We start from the raw sequence: 18,734 nt of genomic DNA, 5'->3' as shown, positions 1-18,734 counted from the left end.
GCTTGGGCTGGGCTCCCTCCTCCCCAGCCCTAGCCTGGGGCTTCTCTGGTTTGGGAGCTTGGGAGGAGCAGGGGTAGAAAGAACAGTGGGCAGGTGGTGGTGGGTGGGTTGGCACAGCACTCCTCCATCCTTGCCCCAGCTCTGGGCCCCACCACCTTCCTACCAGGGGTCCCAGTAACCCCTCCTCCCTCACCCTTCCCACCAGCTGGCAGCAGGACAGAAAAGAATTAACGCTGCCTACCATGGAGAACCTTGTGGCTTTGTCTGGGCTGGTGGAGCCTACAGGGCTGGTGGGAATAATAACTCATGAAAAGTGTCAAACACAGACTTTACTATCCTGCACGTGGGGGGGCTGCAGACCCAGGTGTTCAGGCACTTGTGGACCCTTGTGATGGCCTTGTGGGGCCTCGGTGGGCAGGCAGTAGGGACCCCCTTCCCCAGGTGGAGTGGACTCCGGGGCTGTTGTTCTGTAAAAGAGACTGGGGAGGACAATGCTTACCCCAAACAAATCATCTGGTCTCTGGGACATCCCTGCCTTGGGCAAGGAGGAGTGGGAGGTGGGCAGGGCCTCACCCAGGGGTTCTCTGTCGCCTCTCAAGGTTTGCTGGCTCATCTGTACCCCAGAAGGGCTGTAGCTATAGGGTCTTGGCCCGTGTGTCTAAGGGACAGGGAGGCAAGAAGTGACTTCCCTTTGGCTCTGACACCCATGTGATGGCCCTGTAGTCCTTGGCTTTGGGGAACCAGGTGTGGGGCTGTCAGAGTTACAGCAATGCTCAGCGTCCATCGTGAGATGGAAGGGCCCCTCCCTGACTGATGGGTAGGAAGGGAAAACATGCCCAGGTCAGAGGTGGGGGCAGGTGGGGAGGCATCCCTGCCACAGGACTCTCCCAGATCCTCCCTCCTTGAAACCTCTTCCCTGTGGGAGGTCCCATTTGTGGGAGAATCCGACTGCTAGAGACAAGTCAAGCGGGGGAAGAGTTACCTGCAGATGAGGACTGGGCAGTGCATGGCATCTGGGGCTCCATTGCCCCTAGTCCCAGCCTGCTTTGCTGGTGGGGTGGGGAGACAGGATGCATCTACCTGCCTGTCCTGGGCTGTCAGCTCCTCTTCTCCAGCCAGGAGGCAGGTGGGGGCAGGGAGGGGTGCTGGTCCTCATGAATTTACAATGCCTAGACTTCATGAAGCGGGTGCCCACAGACTGAGAGCTCCAGCAGGGGGAGGGGAGGTACTGGACAGTGTGTGCACCCCCTTTCCCGTCAGCCTTCTCAGAGGCCCTCTGTCCAAATCCGTCAACCTGGTGTTCCACTGAGCTAAGCTCCTTAGCACCAGGACACAGCATAAACAACATCTGTGCCCTGAGATCCCAGGGTCTGATCCCCAGTGTCCCAAGATCCCCAGATGAGCCCTGGGGACACAGTGGGGAGGACCAGGAGGACCCCTGCTGACTCTCCCTGCTCCTGCGTGGGCACAGGGCCACATTGGCCGCACCATCACCTGGACCTCCCAGGTGCGCTGGCCTCTGCCTGCCAAGAGATGTGAAGCTCTTATCTTTTCCCCATAGATAAGGGCCTGGGAAGGGAATGGGGAGGAAGCTGTCCTATTCTGGATCTAGTCTGGGTAGAGGAGTCAGGGAGGAATTGGCCCAAGTCTTCCCACCAGCCCCTCTGACCCTCCACCTCTGGCTGGTGGCTACAGGCCCCCCTCCCACCATCCTTCTAAGATTCAGAGAAGAAAGAAGAAACGAGGTGTCTGAAGATGAGGATTGAGGGGTGGAAATTACCTCAACTGAATTTTAAAAACCCCTGGCTGGTTGCCATAGTAACAGAAAGGTGCATCCCATCACCATGGCAACAGGCAAACACCGAGGTCTGCTGCTGGGATTGGGGATTTGGGATGTGGCCGGAGGGGGTTAACAGAGGAGGCTGGGCTTGGATAGAGCAGTTGGGGGTGGGGAACTATCCAGCCTGGGATAATTTCACCCCTACCTTTCCAGGGGGCAGAAAGCCAGGCTGGGCCCCTTCTCCCTGGTGGTGGAGTCACAGGAGAATGGATTGTTGGGAGTAATCCCCTAGCTCCCACCACCCACCCCTATCTGGCACCATCTGCAGCCTGGAAGCCTGGGGTGGAGTCATGAGCCTGCTTAACTGGGCTCCTAACTAGCCAGACCGTGGGGCTTGGAAACCATGGAACTCAGCTCCTGACCTCAGGGAGTGACAGGCTGGGAGTCAGTGTCATTGGTCATGGTCCTAAGAAAGAAGAAGCACATGACCAGGCTGGGCATGGTGGCTCACACCTGTAATCTTAGCACTGTGGGAGGCTGAGGCAGGTGGATCACCTGAGGTCAGGAGTTCGAGACCAGGCTGGCCAACATGGTGAAACCCCGTCTCTACTAAAAATACAAAAATTAGGTCAGGCACAGTGGCTCACGCATGTAATCCCGGCACTTTAGGAGGCCAAGGCGGGCGGATCACCAGAGGTCGAGAGTTTGAGATTAGCCAGGCTAACATGGTGAAATCCTGTCTCTACTACATATACAAAATTAGCTGGGCGTGGTGGTGTGCACCTGTAATCCCAGCTACTTGGGAGGCTGAGGCAGGAGAATCACTTGAACCTGGAAGGTGGAGGTTGCAGTGAGCTGAGATTGCACCATTGCACTCCAGCCTGGGCAACAAGAGTGAAACTCCATCCCCCCACCCAAAAAAAAAAAGAAAAAAAAGAAGCGCATGGCCAGAGATCAGCTCCATGTAATACCCTGAAGGCAGCTACACACACCTGGAGGGTTGCTGTATACACCTGGCCGGTGGCCACACACACCAGTATGGCCACACACCTGGAGGGTGGCTCCTCAAGGTGACAGTCATCTCCTCCAAGGACCTAGCCTCCAGGGCTAGAGGAGGAGATCTGTCCTCCTCCTGATTTGGTGTGAGGTCCCAGAGAGGAACAGAAAGGGTCCTGTTCTGCCACTACTGAGGATACTCTCAGGAAGCCCCAAACAGCCAGGCAGCCAGAACCATAGTTGACATTTGACAGGTTGTGGTTCAGGCTCAGGACTGACCTGTGGAGCCACTGGGTCCCAACTGACCCTCTCACACCCACAGTCCCCATGCTAGCGGCTGGACATTCAGGCTCACTGGCCCCATGGCCTGACATTCTACCATCAGAGTCAGTCTCTTGGGTTGCCCAGTGACGCCACAAGATGCTTGTTAGACACACCCGGGAGCATTGTGGCTCTTCCATTAATGCATTAGTGTTTCCGAGGTTTGGAGATGATATGGGCTGCCTGTGGCCTTGGAGATCTGGCTGTGTGTGTGTGTGTGTGCGCGCGTGTGTGTGCATATGTGTGTGTGTGTTTGCCTGCATGCTCACATGCACCCCCACATGCAGGAAATCAGCAAAGAGGGAGTTGGGGGTATCCACTCTCCCAGCTTGCCAGCTTCAAGCTGACTTGTTAAAATCTAGATTCCAGCGGGGGCGTGGTGGCTCACACCTGTAATCCCAACACATTGGGAGGCCAAGGCAGGAGGATGGCTTCAGCTCAGGAGTTCGAGATCAGCTTGGGCAACTTAGCGAAAGCCCGTCTCTACAAAAAATATAAACAACTAGCCAGGCATGGTGGTGCATGCCTGTAGTCCCAGCTACTTGGGAGCAGGGAGTATAGCTTGAGCCCAGGAGGTCAAGGCTTCAGTGAACCCCATGTTTGTGCCACTGCACTCCAGCCTGGGTGACAGAGAAAGACCCTGTCTCAAAAAAAGAGTAATAATATAAATAAAATCCAAATTTCCAGAACCACCCCCAAGCTTCTCTTCTGTTGAGAACATGGCCTCGGCACAGGAATTCCGAGGGGATACTGGAGCCTCGGGCGGGCTGCTGCCTCCTGGGCTGCCCAGGTGGGCTGGGTAAACCCTGGGGCTACCTGGGCTAGGGAGAGGAACCAAAAAGGAGATGCTGCCTGACTCTGGAGAAGTAAGAACAAACCCAAGGCACTCTTGTGCCTCCTGCCTTCTCTCAAGAGGCTGGCTTGGCCTGCTCTTCCAGGGGGCTGTGAACTGATGGGTGAAAGGGAAGAGGAGACATTCCTGCCTGGGCTCCCTCTGTCCAAGGTCAAGGCAGTACCTTGGATAGGGGCTCTCGCAGTCCAACTACCTCATCACAGGCAGGAAGACTGAGACCAGAAGGGGCTTACACCCGCCCAAGCTGCTAGGCCCAGCTCTGGGAGAGGGAGATTGGCCCAGGTTTGCCCTTTCAAGATCCTGCCTCCCCATGAGACTAGGTCAACCCAGGTTAACAAATTCCAGGGTCCTGACTGCCCATGGCATGAAAACCATCCTGGCAGTGCTAAGGCCCTTGGAATGGCAGCTGGAAAGGGAACCACTAAGGCTGGATTTAGGCTGGGGGTATGTCGTGCCGAGCCCCTGTCAACCTCAATAGGGAAGGCAGTTTCAAGAGGCTGAAGAAGGCCGGGCACAGTGGCTCGTGCCTATAATCCCAGCACTTTGGGAGGGCAAGGTGGCTGGATCGCCTGAGGTCAGGAGTTCGAGACCAGCCTGGCCAACATGAAGAATCCCCATCTCTACTAAAAGTACAAAAAATTAGCCAGGTGTGGTGGCAGGCGCCTGTAATTCCAGCTACTCGGGAGGCTGAGGCAGGAGAATCACTTGAACCCAGGAGGCGGAGGTTGCAGTGAGCTGAGATCGTGCCACTGCACTCCAGCCTGGGCAATAAGAGAGAAACTCCGCCTCAAAAAAAAAAAAAAAAGCCAAAGAAGAGACTCAGAGCTAGCAAATCAGACATGGGGAGGCTGGGTACTATAGCTCATGCCTGTAATCCCAGCACTTTGGGAGGCCAAGGTGGGTGGATCACCTGAGGCCAGGAGTTCGAGACCAGCCTGGCCCAAAATGGCAAAATCCCCGTCTCTACTAAAAATACAAAGATCAGCTGGGAGTGGTGGCATGCACCTATAATTCCAGCTACTCTGGAGGCTGAGGCAGGAGAATTGCTTGAACCTGGGAGGTGGAGGTTGCAGTAAGCCAAGATGGTGCCACTGCACTCCAGGCTGAGCAACAGAGTGAGACTATGTCTCAAAGTAAAAAAAAAACATGGGGTTTGACTGGAGACTTACATACGGGGGGAACGTCCAGTGGCAGTGGGCTGGACAGGAGAACTGCAGCTGCTTTTGAACAGCATGTGGTTTATAGAGCATTTTCACTCAACACCCCCTCCCCATGACCTCCACCTGGCAACCTTCAATTAACCTAAAATTTAGGCTTCAATCCCCTGTATGGCCTTGTACCATAGGCCAGGATGGGGGCTCAAATGTTCCTCATAGATAAGGAATGAATCTCTGGGTTGGCCACTCCCTCATTCCCTAGCTCAGAACACGCATTTACGTGCACCTCCATACAGGGTCATTCTCCGGGTACGCTTAAGCTATTGCTATCAGGTACGTTTACCATACAAGGTAGGGGGTGGTCCTGATCCCAGGAGGGAGTGAGGGCTTGGTGTACCCAGACTACTCCTCTTGCTCACATGCATGGGCACACACACACACAGAGACCTTAAGGAGATGGAGAGTGCCCACGTGGGCCGGGCACAGTGGCTCACACCTGTAATCCCAGCACTTTGGGAGTCTGAGGCGGGCAGATCACCTGAGGTCAGGAGTTCGAGACCAGCCTGGCCAACATGGTGAAACCCCGTCTCTACTAAAATTAGCTGGACATGGTGGCACACTCCTGTACCGTCAGCTACTCAGGAGGCTAAGGCAGGAGATCACTTGAACCCAGGAGGTGGAGGTTATAGGGAACCAAGATCACACCACTGCACTCCAGCCTGGGCAACAGAGGGAAACTCCATCTCAAAAAACAAAAAACAAACAACAAAAAAGAAAGTGCCCACACTCTCTGGAACTGGGGCCCTCCAGCCTCCATGGACTACTTGCCCCAAGGTGGCTGAGATCCCTGTCCAGAGCAGGAACTCTCAAGTTGCTCCCAAGCCAGGTTGGCCTGGAGCCTGTGTCGGTCTCCACCTTCACCCTCTCTCCCACCAGGACCATGCCATGTGGGGTGCATCCCCTGCAGCCCCAGAGACTACAAATGGTGCCCCATAGTAGCCCGGGCCTATATCCAAACACACAGGAGCACCTGGAACCTCAGGTGAGAGGTTCCCCAGAGCTGAGGACACACCCACGCTGGCTCTGCCCTGCACCCAATGGACCTGAAGGTTCTCTTGGAGAGCTTGGACAGGCGGCTCCCAGGCTGCCTAAGCCAGAGGGTGAGGGAGGTAGGGGCTCCTCCCTGGGCCTCCTTTAGGCTGACCCTGCTCCTCATCTCCAGCCATCAGCCCTGCTTGGCAGAGCTGGGCTGGATGCCTTGTGAGGAGTGAGGACTTCACCCTGTGGGCAGATTTGGAATCCATGGGTGTCCCCATGAGTCACCTGGACCCCAACTCCTGGTCCAGGAATGGCCAGAGGCTTGCTGGGTTCACCATCCATGACGTTTCCTTTTTGGTTTGCTTTGGGCTGCTTTGAAAGCCCTAAGGACTGTTGCTACGTGTGTCAACAACCCCACACTGGGTTCAGCAGTCATCCAGACTTCAGCAGGAATTCAGTGTGTCCTAAGGGCAGCATATACCCATGCCCCTAATACAAGACCTAACTCTGCCCTGGGTGTCTTATTTACCACATTCCCATACAATTTTCACTCGTGCCCTGAGTATATCGTATTTCTTTCTTTTTTTTTTTCCCAAGATGGAGTTTTGCTCTTTTTGCCAGGCTGGAGTGCAATGGCGCAATCTAGGCTCACTGCAACCTCTGCCTCCTGGGTTCAAGTGATTCTCCTGCCTCAGCCTCCTGAGTAGCTGAAATTACAAACATGTGCCACCATGCCCAGCTAATTTTTTGTATTTTTAGTAGAGATGGGATTTCACCATATTGGCCAGGCTGGTCTCGAACTCCTGACCTCAGGTGATCCACCCGCCTCAGCGTCCCAAAGTGCTGAGATTACAGGCATGAGCCACTGTGCCCAGCCTAGTGTATCATATTTCATCATGTTCTAGATGCCATGTATACATCCACGACCCAAGGACAATATTATGTCTTGAGAGCACCAATGTTTACCCACATTCCACTGGCCGAGAGCCTGGGAGACATACATGTATCCTTCCCCCGATGCCTGTTTACCCCACACTGGCTGCTTTCTTCCTCTGGTCTCTCTTTTTCCCCACGTGACAGAGCTGGCTGTGTGTGTGTGTATTAAGAGGTGACCCTGCCCTGGCTTGGGAGCGAACCTCATGAAGGTCCAGGATGTGGCCAGCACTGGGGTACAGAGCCTACTAATGCTCAGGCCCGCTGAGGACAGTGTCACCCTCCCTGCAGCAGCACTCGGCCTCCTGCTCATGGAGTGCCCAGACCCTCCTGTTGTTGGTTCTGGCACCTAGAGGGGGAGATATTTAGGGGATAAATGGAGGGGAAGGTGGGCCGGCCCATGGGAACCTGTCCTAGGTTGGGGACAGGAGAGCCCTGGGGCCTATAGCAAGGAGGCTGGAGTACCTCAGTACCTCAGAGGGGTACCAAGGTGGCCCTCCTGCCAGCCTGGCTCCAGACCCAATGGTCAGGGTAGTCTTGGTTTGGGAGCTTCCTGAAGTCACCAAGACCTGGAGAAAGTCAGAAGCCAGGGTGGCAGCAAGTACAGAAGGCCAGCTGGCCTTGTCCCAACAGACCCAGCCGTGCAGTGCAGACAGGCAGCATCGAAACAGGCTGGGCAAGGGGTAGGGGGGAGCCGCCTTGGCCAGGGTGGCACCTTGGAGGCAGCCCCTTCAGGATCCCCGGCTCCTGAGCCCTGTCCCATCCCGACCCCCTCCCAGGTAGAGCCCAGGAGACCTACACAGTCAGGCCTCCCCCTACCCCAGCCCTGAGACTCAGCCCGCCTCTGGAAGCTCAAGTCCTGCCTCAGTCTTCTGCTCCCAGGACAAAGGTTTGGGCTGGGCTCTGGCCTATCATGCTTATCTCATCATAAATATTTATCAGGCTCCAGGGGCCAGGCCTGCAGCTGGCTTGGTGATGGGGGTGGGGGTGGGGGCAGATGCTGCCGAAGGATCTCAAAGCCCATCCCTAATGAGGGGACTGTGAGGGGAGAGTGCCACCTGGGCCTTGGGCTCCTTGGGGAGGGAGGACAGATGGACAGCGGGACAGAATCAGAGGGAGCCTCAGGGACTTGGGCATAATCCAGCAAGCCAACCTCCCCATGCACTCCAGGAATGTGGGGGAGGAGTCCGAAGAGGCCAAGGCTGTGGGAGACAGGCGGGCTTCTCCCTGGACTGTCCTCCCATAGGACATCCTCGAGAGCCGTGCTCCCCACCCTCATCCTTCCCCCAGATGGTGCCCGCACTCTGTGCTCCCCCTACATCGCCCTCCCAGAGCTGCGCTCCTGCAGATGCGCTGTCTGTTCCTGCAGAGCTGTGTCCATGAGAAGCCATGCCCCATAGGGCCCTCTCCCCTCTTCCCACCATCCCTTCTGACCCCACACCTTCCTCCCCAGAACTGTGCTGCCCCCTACTCTGCATCCCTCAGAGTTGTGCTCCCCACACATCCAGGACTTCACCCTCTGTGAGCCCCTTTCCTTGCCGAATGGGACTCCTGATCACAGGTACTGGAAGCCCCTGGGGTGAGCAGAGCAGACTTCCCATGGGAAGTCTGCCAGCACCTGGGTTCTAGCTCTCCTGTGAGCTTCGCCACAGCACCCCCCTCATTGGCATGCTGGGGGACCCACAGGTGGAATCAAAGCTCTGCTCAGAGCTGAGCTGCACAACAGCAATCTGGTAGCCTTTGTTTCCCCAGTCCTGGGGGCGTAGTGGAACTAGGGGCAAAGAGGGTGCATTTTGGGGCCTAGGGCCTCCTCCTCACTGCCACAGGCAAGCGCAGCTGTAGATAAGGGGGGATGCCTGAGCTAATGAACACCCCCAGTAGATAATGAGGGGCTGTGGGGGAAGGGATGGCCTGAGGCACAGCCTGGGCGGGGAAGGCTGCCTCCCAAAGCCCAGAGCGCTCATTAGTGGAAGCCTGGGGGAGAGGCAGCTAAGTGGGTCAGCGCCCCTCCCCCAGCCACCTGACCGGTATGGGTGGAAGGATTGGCAGCCCATTGTCCCCCAGTGAAGTCAGTCGCATTCTGAGTCCCTTCTCCCTCCAACCTTCCTCCCCAAGCCCCTGCTTCCAACCCCCACAAACCCCTTGCCCCCTCAACCCCCTTCCCAAAGCCCCGTGTTCCTCAATCCTCTTCTTGAGCCCTCAGCTCCCAACCCCCCAAACCTCCTGCCCCTCCAGCCCTCCTCCTGGAGCTCCTGCCCCCTAAGCCCCCTGTTTCTCTAACCCCCCTCCCTGAGTCCCCTGCCCCTCACAGAGCCCCTGTCTCCTTCCACGGACCTCCCACTCTGAGCCCTTTTTCCTCCCTGAGACCCCCTTGGTGGCCCCCTCCCCCCCTCTGCACACCCCCCGCCCCAGGTGCCGGCCTCTGAGCCAGCCTCCCCAAGGCACCCTCCAGACTGAGCCACACCTGGGAGAAATTGAAATCTTAGACTCTTCCCTACCCCCGCCAATGAAGCAGACATCCCTGTCCTGGCCACGAGGCAGCAGAATGCGGCTGCGGCTCCGCTGGGCCAGGCTGGGGGCTGTGCCAGAACAAGCATCCAGATGTGGGGAGGACACAGCGGCAGGACGGGGGGTGGGCACGCAGCAGCTCGGTCCAGTCTCTTCCATCCCCATCCCCTGCAGCCAGCGGCCCTGGGCATCCACTCCGGGGTCTCAAACTCCCCCTTCTTGTCCCATAGTCATGAAGATGAGCATCCTGGCAGATCTGTTTCAGGAGTGCGGTGGGCAGGGGCTGGGGGAGGGGATCTCAGAGGCTGGGCCTTCTCTGTGTAGGGTGGTCCAGAGAGGCAGGGTCTGCCTGGGTCCCCCTTCAAAATCAGGGTAGAGCCAGATGAGGACAAGATGCATAGTCTGTCAACTCTCCCCTCCAGCCCTATGCCCCTGTCTTTGGCCAGCCTCCTCCTTGATCAAGGCCTTCCAGGACTCCCTGTTTCCTGTCAAGATCTCCTTCCCCTGAGGCTCTGAGGCACTTCCGGACCTGTCCAGCTGGTCCCAGGGCAGAGGGTAGAATATGGATGAGCCTGTGCCATCCTTGATGTTGTCAGGACACAGTTCTGGGAGGGGATGAGTGAATGTCCTGGTCCCCACCAATCCCCACCCCAGCCCCAGTCACCACAGCCTGACTAGTCTGGGTCTGGCTGCACAAGAGTTAATCTCAGGGTGTCCCCCCCCCCACCACGTGTGCACAAATTCCAGGAACACTTTCCATTAAGGACACTCTGAGCAGATTTCATTTCATTTACATTAATAAGAACCAGAAAAATCTGCAGGGTGGGGGTGGGGCCGGGGCCGGGGCCGGGGCCTGGGCCGGGGCCAGGGCGGGGTTGGGGGCGGCTCGGGCACGTGTGCTGCTCAGTTTGTCTGGTAGAGGCTAAGGGGCTGGGGCTCCCGGCCATAAGAGGAGAGGCCCAGCCAAGCCGGTGCCGCCGATGTGCTTGGGGGAAGGTAGATCCATCCAGTCTTCAGGGATTCACGGTGGAGGGAGGAGGCAGAGCCCAGCTGCTTCTGGACACTCCTAACCTGAGCAGGGTGGCAGGCCCAGGTCCTAGGGCCTTCCAGGCGGAGGGGATGGCAGAGCTAATAGGATGCCAGCACATGGAAATGACTGGATCGGGGACTGGGGCCCTGGGTTTGGATGAGATGGGTGTGGACCTCAGCTTCCCAGTCTGTCAGGGAAACAGGAGAGGCTGCTCCCTCTCCTTCCTGTCCTCACTGCAGGTATGGCTGCAGGTGTTAGAAGGGAAGGTAATGAACCTTGAGCCAGTCTTAGAGACCATGATGCCCCTTCCTCAGTCTTCCCTTCCCCTCTCCAGCTCTGCCAGTGAGCTGAGCCATGGCTGGCAGACTTGGACCTGTTCAGTGAGCTCAGAAGCCTGTTCTGGGTGGACACCCCCAAGATCCACCCACCTGAAAAGGGGAAAGCCTCAGAATGACATTGTGTGCACAAGGGTGTGCCTGCTGGGTGGCGGCTTGTGCTCTGCCACGCTGTGACCCTGGGGGCTCCCTCTCCCTTCACAGAAGGCTGCCAGACCAGGTTTCCTTCCTCAGGGGTAGCAAGAACATCTGATTCCTGCCCCCTCAGGAGCCAGGTTCACTTGCACACTTGCTCATTAATGTGTCTGGCTTGTGTGTGCTCTTCTATATGCCAGTGGCTGGGTGGGGTTATGCACAAGTGTGCATGCTTCACACACCAACCAGGGAGGGGGTCTGCAGGATCTGGATGTAATGCCACCTCAAATGTCAAGGGTGATGGGGAAGCATGCATGTTGCCTGCTGCAGCCGGATGCCTGAGGGCTGGCCTGCATTGCGTGTGGGTGCGTACACATGGCATGCTTATGAGTGCAGAGGATGGCTCCTCAGCCCAGGAGTTGGGGAGTAAGAGGAAGGAGAAGAAGCCCCAGCTCTGGTGCCTCTCAGGATTTGGGCTCAGCCCTGTCTTGCTCCAGGTCTTACAGATTGAGGCTAGGCGCCCTTAGGTGGTGGTAGGCTGTGCTGGGCCAGGGGGCCCTAGGCTGAACCCAACCCTGCAGGACAGGCTGGGCAGGGCTCCCACACCTGCACCTGACCCTGTTCCAGGCCCACACTAGGGGATGGTGGGGGGAGGCTTAATTACATCCATGAATCATTCTCAAATAGCTCCTGTCCAGCCAGACTCAGGATGGTGATGCCCGCCCAGAGCTGAGAGCCAGGGGCTCCTGGAGCCTCCGTTGCACATAAAAGCAGCAGAGGACGCGAGCAGGCACCCTAGCCCCTCCTCTCTTGGCCACCTGCCTCGGCCTCCCCCATTGGTGTGCAGAATTCACCCCAAGATCAGAGGCCTATCTCAGCACCCGTGGGTAGCGCAGAACCAACTCCTCTAGACCTGGCGGCCCCATCCCACGTTATCTTGCCCCCTCAGCCTCCTCCGTCCCCTTGTGGCTGCTGCAGACTCCTCCAGCTTCTCTTTCCAGCATCCTCTAGGCCTCACTTTGCCTCTGGTTGTCTTCACCTGCCTCTCCCTGTCTTTCTCCTCTTTCCTCAGGGCACTGGGAGGCATCCCAAGACCCAGCTCACTCCAGGGCTGGACCTCAACCTTGTACCTGCAGGTGAGACCCAATTCTACTGCACTGGAGTGGTGATGGGGCAGCAGTTGCCAGCAGCAGCCCAGTCCAGCAACAGCTTTGAATCTCAGTTTCCTCTTTAAATGGGATGGCAGTGCAGCTTGGACTAAGCAGGATGGGAGGGCCCTGCCCCTGGCTCATACCTTCTGCTGGAAAGTTCTGTCTGGCTGGGTGTGGCCCACCCTATAGGGTTCTGACCTTAACCCAAGTCCATGAGTCCACCTCCCTCCTGCCACCTTCTGGGAGACTGGGGTGAAGGACTACAGGCATCCCCTGCTTCCATCTGGGAGCCCTGGACAAGCTGGGCTCCAACTCCCCATGGGCTGTAGGGACAGAAGCTGAGAATCTGATGCTCTAGCAACAGTGCTTCTGTGAGTCAATAAGCACGTGGTAGGGAAAGGGAGTGAGAGGCAGAAATGCACTTTATCGACTGCAGAAATTATTTACCTGGGTCAGAAAGAATTGCTGAGAGGGAAGTGCCTACTGTGCACAGGGTCAGCCTGGCTCTTGCCCCATTGGGCGCTGTGGGGACGACTTCCCCATCTAGCCAGAGGGGGTCCCTGGGGGTCAGAGACCCTCAGGAACTTGCAAGGCAGGCAGACTTGGCACCTGCCTGACTCCAGAAAGTTTCAAGGCCGAAGTTCTAGCCAGGTCTCCTTGAGTCCCAGAGACGTGGAGAGAGCCCCTGGGAACCTCCAGTACCTCAGGACTTGGTGGGAAGTCCTCTCCTTACCACCACCTATACCAGCCTGGCTGGAAAGATGATGGAATGCTGCCACCTGGTGGCCACCAACAACACAGTACCCTCCTCCAGTATCGACTGTGGGCAATCTTCCCCCACACCCCACCTGTCCCTGAGGGCATTCATTCCTCCGGAATCGGGGTGGCTGGGATCTGGGCGCCCTTGAGACCCCCAGCCAGACTATGCATGCCTGGGGAGCTTAGCTCAGGCCGGGATGCTCATCTGGGCTTTGAAACTTGTTTGATGCACAGCCATGACAGCTGCTCCTGGACGGCCCTCAAAGCCTTGCACGTTGTAGCAGCTGTCCCAGCCAAGGGCAGTCTGGACTTGGGAATCCTTGGAGGCTCCTTCTAGTTCAGTAAGAGCACCGTTCAAATTCAAGATTTGGGTTCCCCTGATTGAGAGGATTGCACTACTCTCACAGCATCTCAACATCACACAGGACTAAGAGGAATGGTGGCCCTATGGGCAGCACACAGCACATTTAACCGGGCTTGGGATTGGAGTAAACCCTGATGGGCCAGTCAGGAGGATGCTTGGGATCCTAGTGCTTCCAAACCAGAAGGATCACCCAAATATGGTCTTGCAGGATACCTGGGCCCAAGATAACAGCCTGTCAAACCTCAAGGACTGGGGCCATCAATTTAGATGCAGGGTGAAGGCTGCAGTCACCTGGCTAGGTATGCTGGTAACAGGTGAGGCCAGAGGAGGGAGCCTCCATCTCTGAGGAGCTGGCTCAGACCCTCACATTCACAGGAACCCTCAGCTTCATGTTCATAGGAAAGGCCACGCTGGTGTTGACAACAGATGCCGTGGTCCACAGCACACATGGGAGAGCCTTGAGCAGCTTTGACAGGTAACTCTAAGCACCAGCAGTGTGGGACAGGTTGAGGTGCCCTTCCGGGTGCTGGGAAGTCAATCTGAGGCTGCTAGAGGGCTGGCTCCTATTAATGCCTGGCCATGGCTCCCCTAGGGAAGACGCTTCCACCCAACCTTTGCTGAGCTGGGTACATATAATTAAGAGCTTCCCAGATCCTATTCTGGGTATGCTCACCTGGAAGAGCTTTCCGGGCCGGATGTCAAAAGGGTCTAATTAGGGTACTCAGGACTGCTGCTCAGGTGCGAGGAACACCAGCATCACCCTTGATGCCGTGAGGGCTCTGGAGGTGAGGCCAGTTTCTTATCCAACTTCTGTAGACCAGATCTGTGACACACTCTCCACCCCAGCTCTGGGCGCTTGGGCCCTCATTTGTGAAGTTCCCAAGCCTTACTCTGCAGAAACCCAGGCTTGGGGCTTCTGCATTTGCGTCCACCTCTCCCTAGCCAGAGCTGTGATTAGGCTCAGCTTCTCCAAGGCACTACCCTACAGGCCAGGGTGAGGACCTCCTGAGCATTTTCTATTCCTTAACGCCCTGCCCGAAAAGAGGAAAACGTGACCACCCACAAAAGCAAGTCTAGCTTCAAAAGTAAACTGCAGAGAAAAGGCCACCTTAACTGCATGCCCAATCTGTGGAGCTTAAGCACTCAGTTTGGCCAGATTGGCAATGTGAGCAACCCATCACATCATCTGGTCCCAAGAACAGCCTGAGATCCAGGTATACTTCCTGACCTGGTCAGGCATGGTCTTCTGGGTCAAAATGATGTTCTCTGCCCTGTGGAAGAGTGCTGAGGACGAAATACCCATTCAAAACAGAAAACTCTCCAATGCCCCCAGGACCTCCTTAGCAGCTGAGAAGATGCAGTGAGTGGAGTGCTGCCAGGGGGAGATGACCTCCTCAGTTTCTCCATCGCAGCAGAGGGTGGACCAGGTATCACCTGTATCATGGCCAAAAGCAGGGAGGATCTGCCCTGCAGAGCAGTGACAACTCCACACTCCGGCATGTGTGGAATAAAGTCTGTGGAAACTAGAGAGGTGCAAGCACTCATGGTCACTTTGGTCTTAGCAGAAAAGCTACTAAGTTACCATGATTTCCATGAAGAGTTTTAAAACATGCTAAACTTTTTTTTTTTTTTTTTTTGAAACGGAGTTTTGCTCTGGTTGCCCAGGCTAGAGTGCAATGGCGCGACCTCCGGCTCACTGCAAACTCCGCCTCCTGGGTTCAAGCAATTCTCCTGCCTCAGCCTCCCGAGCAGCTGGGATTACAGGCCAACCACACCCAGCTAATTTTGTATTTTTAGTAGAGACGGGTTTCTCCATGTTGGTCAGGGTGGTCTTGAACTCCCAACGCCAGGTGATCCGCCTGCCTCGGCCTCCCAAAGTGCTGGGATTACAGGCGTGAGCCACCACGCCCGGCTAAAACATGTTAAACTCTTGAATTTAAAAATCCGAACATGTCAAGACCAGCCTGGGCAACAGAGTGAGGCCCCATCTCTGTAAAAAATTAAAAAATTAGCCTGCATGGTGGTATGTGCTTGTAGTCCCAGCTACTTGGAACACTAAAGTGGGAGAATCGCGTGAGCCCGGGAGGTCGAGGCTGCAGGCTCCCGAGTAGCTGGGATTACAGGTGCACACCACCACGTCTGGCTAATTTTTTTGTATTTTTGGTAGAGACAGGGTTTCACCATGTTGGCCAGACTGGTCTCAAACTCCTGACCTCAGGCAATCCACCTGCCTCGGCCTCCCAAAGTGTTGGGATTACAGGTGTGAGCCACCACGCCTGGCCAACCCTGCCTCAAAATCAATCAATCAATCAATCAGAACGTGGTGATGGGGGCAAGAAATAAACTGATTTCATCACCAGGCTTGACTGGCTCAGACATGCTTGACCCACCTACCCACCCAAGAATAAAGAGACACAGGACACCCATTTCTCAAGGTATTTCTTTTGTAAAGGAGCCAGATTTGGCAACTAGACTGAAAATCTTCCAAAATTCTGTACAAATGTGTAATATACAAATATACACAAGGCTTTTGCCAAGAAAAGACATCACAACAAATGACAGAGGTGGCTTTGGTGTCACATACCACCTACAGCATCTCAAACCCCTAGGAATGTGAGGGGCTGATGGACCACAACATAGGCTACACATGTAAACACGCTACATTACACTATGTACACTGGAGTATAAACAATCCACTGTCCTCTCCGGTCTGTTCACAAGCCCTCTGGCGGGAAGGAAGGCCATTCACCAGGCAACCCACATAAGGGGAACTTCTTTAAGGTGGGAGGGAGAACCCTGCAGAATGAAGTGGTTCACCCTAAGATCTATTAACAGCACAAGGCATGCCCTTAAAGAGACAGGCGGTAACAGCGAATTCGGGAGATGGACCACTTCTTGTGCTCCTTGTCATCTCTCTCTCTCTCTCTCTCTCACTCCATCTCAGTGAACCGGGCAAACATGGCTTTCCGGACAGCATCTTTGTAGGAATCGGCGCCCGACAAACCATATGCGCTGCCTTTGGCTCCTAGGCCAGCTCCCTTTAGCCGAACTTGAGCCTGGGAAAGCACAGAGACTGTCAGCTGGGAGGTAGGGTATGGGCTGCTCCACCTCTCACCATGCCCACTCCTTACCCAGCAGGACCACCCACCAGGAGACAGAAGAGAGAAAACTGTATATGAAGACAAGGATTTCTCCAGAAGAGACCAGGAGCAAGTATAAGGACTGGAGGAATAAAATGGGCTACGGAACACAGGCAGATGAAGCAAATCACCCACCCCTCAATGCCTGCTCAGCAAGCATCCACGCCTAGGAAAGGGCCCCAAAGTATTCCTCTGAAGGTCTGGGAAAGGTATGGTAATTACAGGCACACATTATACAGGATAGCTCAATGTCAGCAGAACTCACATAAACAGGATGAACATGGTCTACAAGAGTCTGACCTAAGCTGTGCTCCCAGGACAGAGCAGGGGCAATTACGGGTGGAGCTCCTGCCTAGAAGGCCAGTGGGTAGGGGCCTCCGATCCTGGGATATGATGCCTCAATGTGGGCTCTGATCAATTTAAAGATTTCTTATCATGGGTGAAAACCCTACTAAATTTTTTTTTTTTTTGAGACAGAGTCGCTGTTGCCCAGGCTGGAGTGCAGTGGCGTGATCTCGGCTCACTGCAACCTCCTCCTGCCAGGTTCTAGCAATTCTCCTGCCTCAGCTTCCTGACTAGCTGGGATTACAGGCACACGCTGCCACGTCCAGTTAATATTTTGTATTTTAGTAGAGACGGGGTTTCACCGTGTTGCCCAGGCTGGTCTCAAACTTCTGGGCTCAGGCAATCCACCCTCCTCGGCCTCCCAAAGTGCTGGGATTACAGGTGTGAGCTCATGCCTGTAATCTGCCCCTTCATGCTAAGGTAAAGCTGCTCCTGGCTCCCAGGCTCTATGAGTGCTCTGATCTCATCTCTGGAACCGGCCTGTAAGCCTGGCAAACATCAAGACCTGACCCCACTGCTTACCTCAATGGGAGCCGTAATGCCTTGACACTTTCGTCCCAAGCCAGAGCCTTCCCGCCAGCCCATGGCCTGCAGCATCTTGTTGCCAATGTTACTGTGGTCAATGCCATCTTTGGTGGGTTGCTCGTAATTCCTGCCAGTGGCAAACACACAGTTACTTAAAACAGCCAGGGCCCCAGCTTACGAACTGGAAAATGTGCACATCACATACACAGTGCCGGCATCAAACTGCTTCTTGCGCTTGGGCTCTGGAGGTTCTGGAATGCCGTACTTCTCCCGTCTTTCTGCAGCTCGGTCTCGGTATTTCATCTACATGGGAGAAAAAACACTGCTGGAAATGTTCACAGACTTCAACCTGTAACCGTCTAATGCACCTATTCAAAACTATCCCCTCAAGTATTTTTAAATCTGAAGAATGCTTTTTTTAGACTGCTCTGAAATACCAAATTCCCTTGTTCCCATCATCATACCTAGTCATATCTGAAATGTTAAATTTGTAAATATGAATTGTGTGGAACCAGGGGCAGAACTATGTCTCCAACAAGCAGTTTTATTTAATTAGCCACCCTCTGTCAAGCTACTCAACCAGCCCACTGGGCAGTGGGTACAGCTTGCGAAGAGGAAGGCAGAGTTGCCCGTTCTCCTCAGCATTTGGACAGGCATACCTCCAACATTTGGAAAGGCATACCTCCAACATCAAGGAGGCTTCCAGAGACCTGTTCAGCAGTCGCTGGGGAGGTGGAACCATAGATAGTAGGGCAGGAAGGGTGTGGGGAGAAGAAAAGCAAAAGCCTTAACTACAAACACTTCAGAAATATCTCAGGTGGGAGATTTCAAACCCACTTGCTCATTTCTAAACCACAGGCCTCTATTTGCATTTAAATCCCTGCCCACCTGGCCGCCAACCTGCCCCAACCACCAGCACTAACTGCTTGCCCATTATTGTGTCACAGGCTTCTCTCTTGCCTTTGTTCCCAGATCTGCTTGCCATGCCCTGCCCACCCTTCCTTTCATATCACCTGCAATAACCTCACGTCCTGCTGTCCCTTGGGATTAATTTGAAGCGCACTTCTTTGCCCATGAAGGCTTCCCTGGCCAGGCCAAACTAGACCACTCTCTCCATAACAAAATCCAGCGTATTTAAGCAGCAAGCTCTGGCATTGCTGTGAGAGAGTCTCGGCAGTGTGCTTCTGCCTTGTGCACCCTTATGATGAAGGGACAATGTGAGGCTCACAAGGCACACAGAGGCTGGGTCTAGGCTACATGAACTACAATGGTCAGATGACAAGGGTATGACAAATCCTCCTACCCTGCCCCTGGGATCTGGAACTAAATGCTACAAATAAAAGCTAAAGGCAATTATCCCAATA

General features: G+C 55.2%; 1 protein-coding gene and 1 long non-coding RNA gene across 9 annotated transcripts in view, besides 5 other annotated features; one reads left to right on the top strand and one right to left on the bottom strand.

The window, feature by feature from the left end:
* Nucleotides 1-18,725, top strand: part of SEMA3F-AS1 (SEMA3F antisense RNA 1) — a 40,064-nt gene extending 21,339 nt beyond the window's left edge. Inside the window, exons 3-4 of the long non-coding RNA NR_135301.1 lie at nucleotides 12,159-12,222; nucleotides 16,499-18,725. This is a non-coding gene — a long non-coding RNA (SEMA3F antisense RNA 1). The remainder of the gene's footprint in view (nucleotides 1-12,158; nucleotides 12,223-16,498) is intronic.
* Nucleotides 1,230-1,731: an enhancer, noted in NCBI's record as "H3K4me1 hESC enhancer chr3:50170449-50170950 (GRCh37/hg19 assembly coordinates)". NCBI's record gives its function as "activates a minimal SCP1, AML or CMV promoter by ChIP-STARR-seq in primed H9 embryonic stem cells {active_cell/tissue: H9 hESC(primed)}" and the evidence as "EXISTENCE:reporter gene assay evidence [ECO:0000049][PMID:30033119]".
* Nucleotides 8,194-9,183: an enhancer, noted in NCBI's record as "H3K27ac-H3K4me1 hESC enhancer chr3:50162997-50163986 (GRCh37/hg19 assembly coordinates)". NCBI's record gives its function as "activates a minimal SCP1, AML or CMV promoter by ChIP-STARR-seq in naive H9 embryonic stem cells {active_cell/tissue: H9 hESC(naive)}" and the evidence as "EXISTENCE:reporter gene assay evidence [ECO:0000049][PMID:30033119]".
* Nucleotides 11,207-11,707: an enhancer, noted in NCBI's record as "H3K4me1 hESC enhancer chr3:50160473-50160973 (GRCh37/hg19 assembly coordinates)". NCBI's record gives its function as "activates a minimal SCP1, AML or CMV promoter by ChIP-STARR-seq in primed H9 embryonic stem cells {active_cell/tissue: H9 hESC(primed)}" and the evidence as "EXISTENCE:reporter gene assay evidence [ECO:0000049][PMID:30033119]".
* Nucleotides 12,693-13,570: an enhancer, noted in NCBI's record as "H3K27ac-H3K4me1 hESC enhancer chr3:50158610-50159487 (GRCh37/hg19 assembly coordinates)". NCBI's record gives its function as "activates a minimal SCP1, AML or CMV promoter by ChIP-STARR-seq in primed H9 embryonic stem cells {active_cell/tissue: H9 hESC(primed)}" and the evidence as "EXISTENCE:reporter gene assay evidence [ECO:0000049][PMID:30033119]".
* Nucleotides 13,571-14,449: an enhancer, noted in NCBI's record as "H3K27ac-H3K4me1 hESC enhancer chr3:50157731-50158609 (GRCh37/hg19 assembly coordinates)". NCBI's record gives its function as "activates a minimal SCP1, AML or CMV promoter by ChIP-STARR-seq in primed H9 embryonic stem cells {active_cell/tissue: H9 hESC(primed)}" and the evidence as "EXISTENCE:reporter gene assay evidence [ECO:0000049][PMID:30033119]".
* Nucleotides 15,726-18,734, bottom strand: part of RBM5 (RNA binding motif protein 5) — a 30,103-nt gene continuing 27,094 nt past the window's right edge. For all 8 annotated transcript variants that reach the window (NR_036627.3, NM_005778.4, XM_011533262.3 and 5 more), the window contains 3 exons: nucleotides 17,576-17,673; nucleotides 17,368-17,497; nucleotides 15,726-16,416 (listed from right to left, as the gene is read on the bottom strand). Coding sequence is in view for 7 of the 8 variants with exons in the window: in NM_005778.4 (NP_005769.1) it covers nucleotides 16,291-16,416; nucleotides 17,368-17,497; nucleotides 17,576-17,673 (354 nt within the window). In the remaining variant the exon portion in view is untranslated. The remainder of the gene's footprint in view (nucleotides 16,417-17,367; nucleotides 17,498-17,575; nucleotides 17,674-18,734) is intronic.

This window comes from Homo sapiens, chromosome 3 (assembly GCF_000001405.40).
Source record: "Homo sapiens chromosome 3, GRCh38.p14 Primary Assembly".
In the NCBI taxonomy this organism is placed as follows: Eukaryota; Metazoa; Chordata; class Mammalia; order Primates; family Hominidae; genus Homo; species Homo sapiens.
Note: the sequence above shows the minus strand (reverse complement) of the source record. Positions and strands in the feature narration are given on the sequence as shown.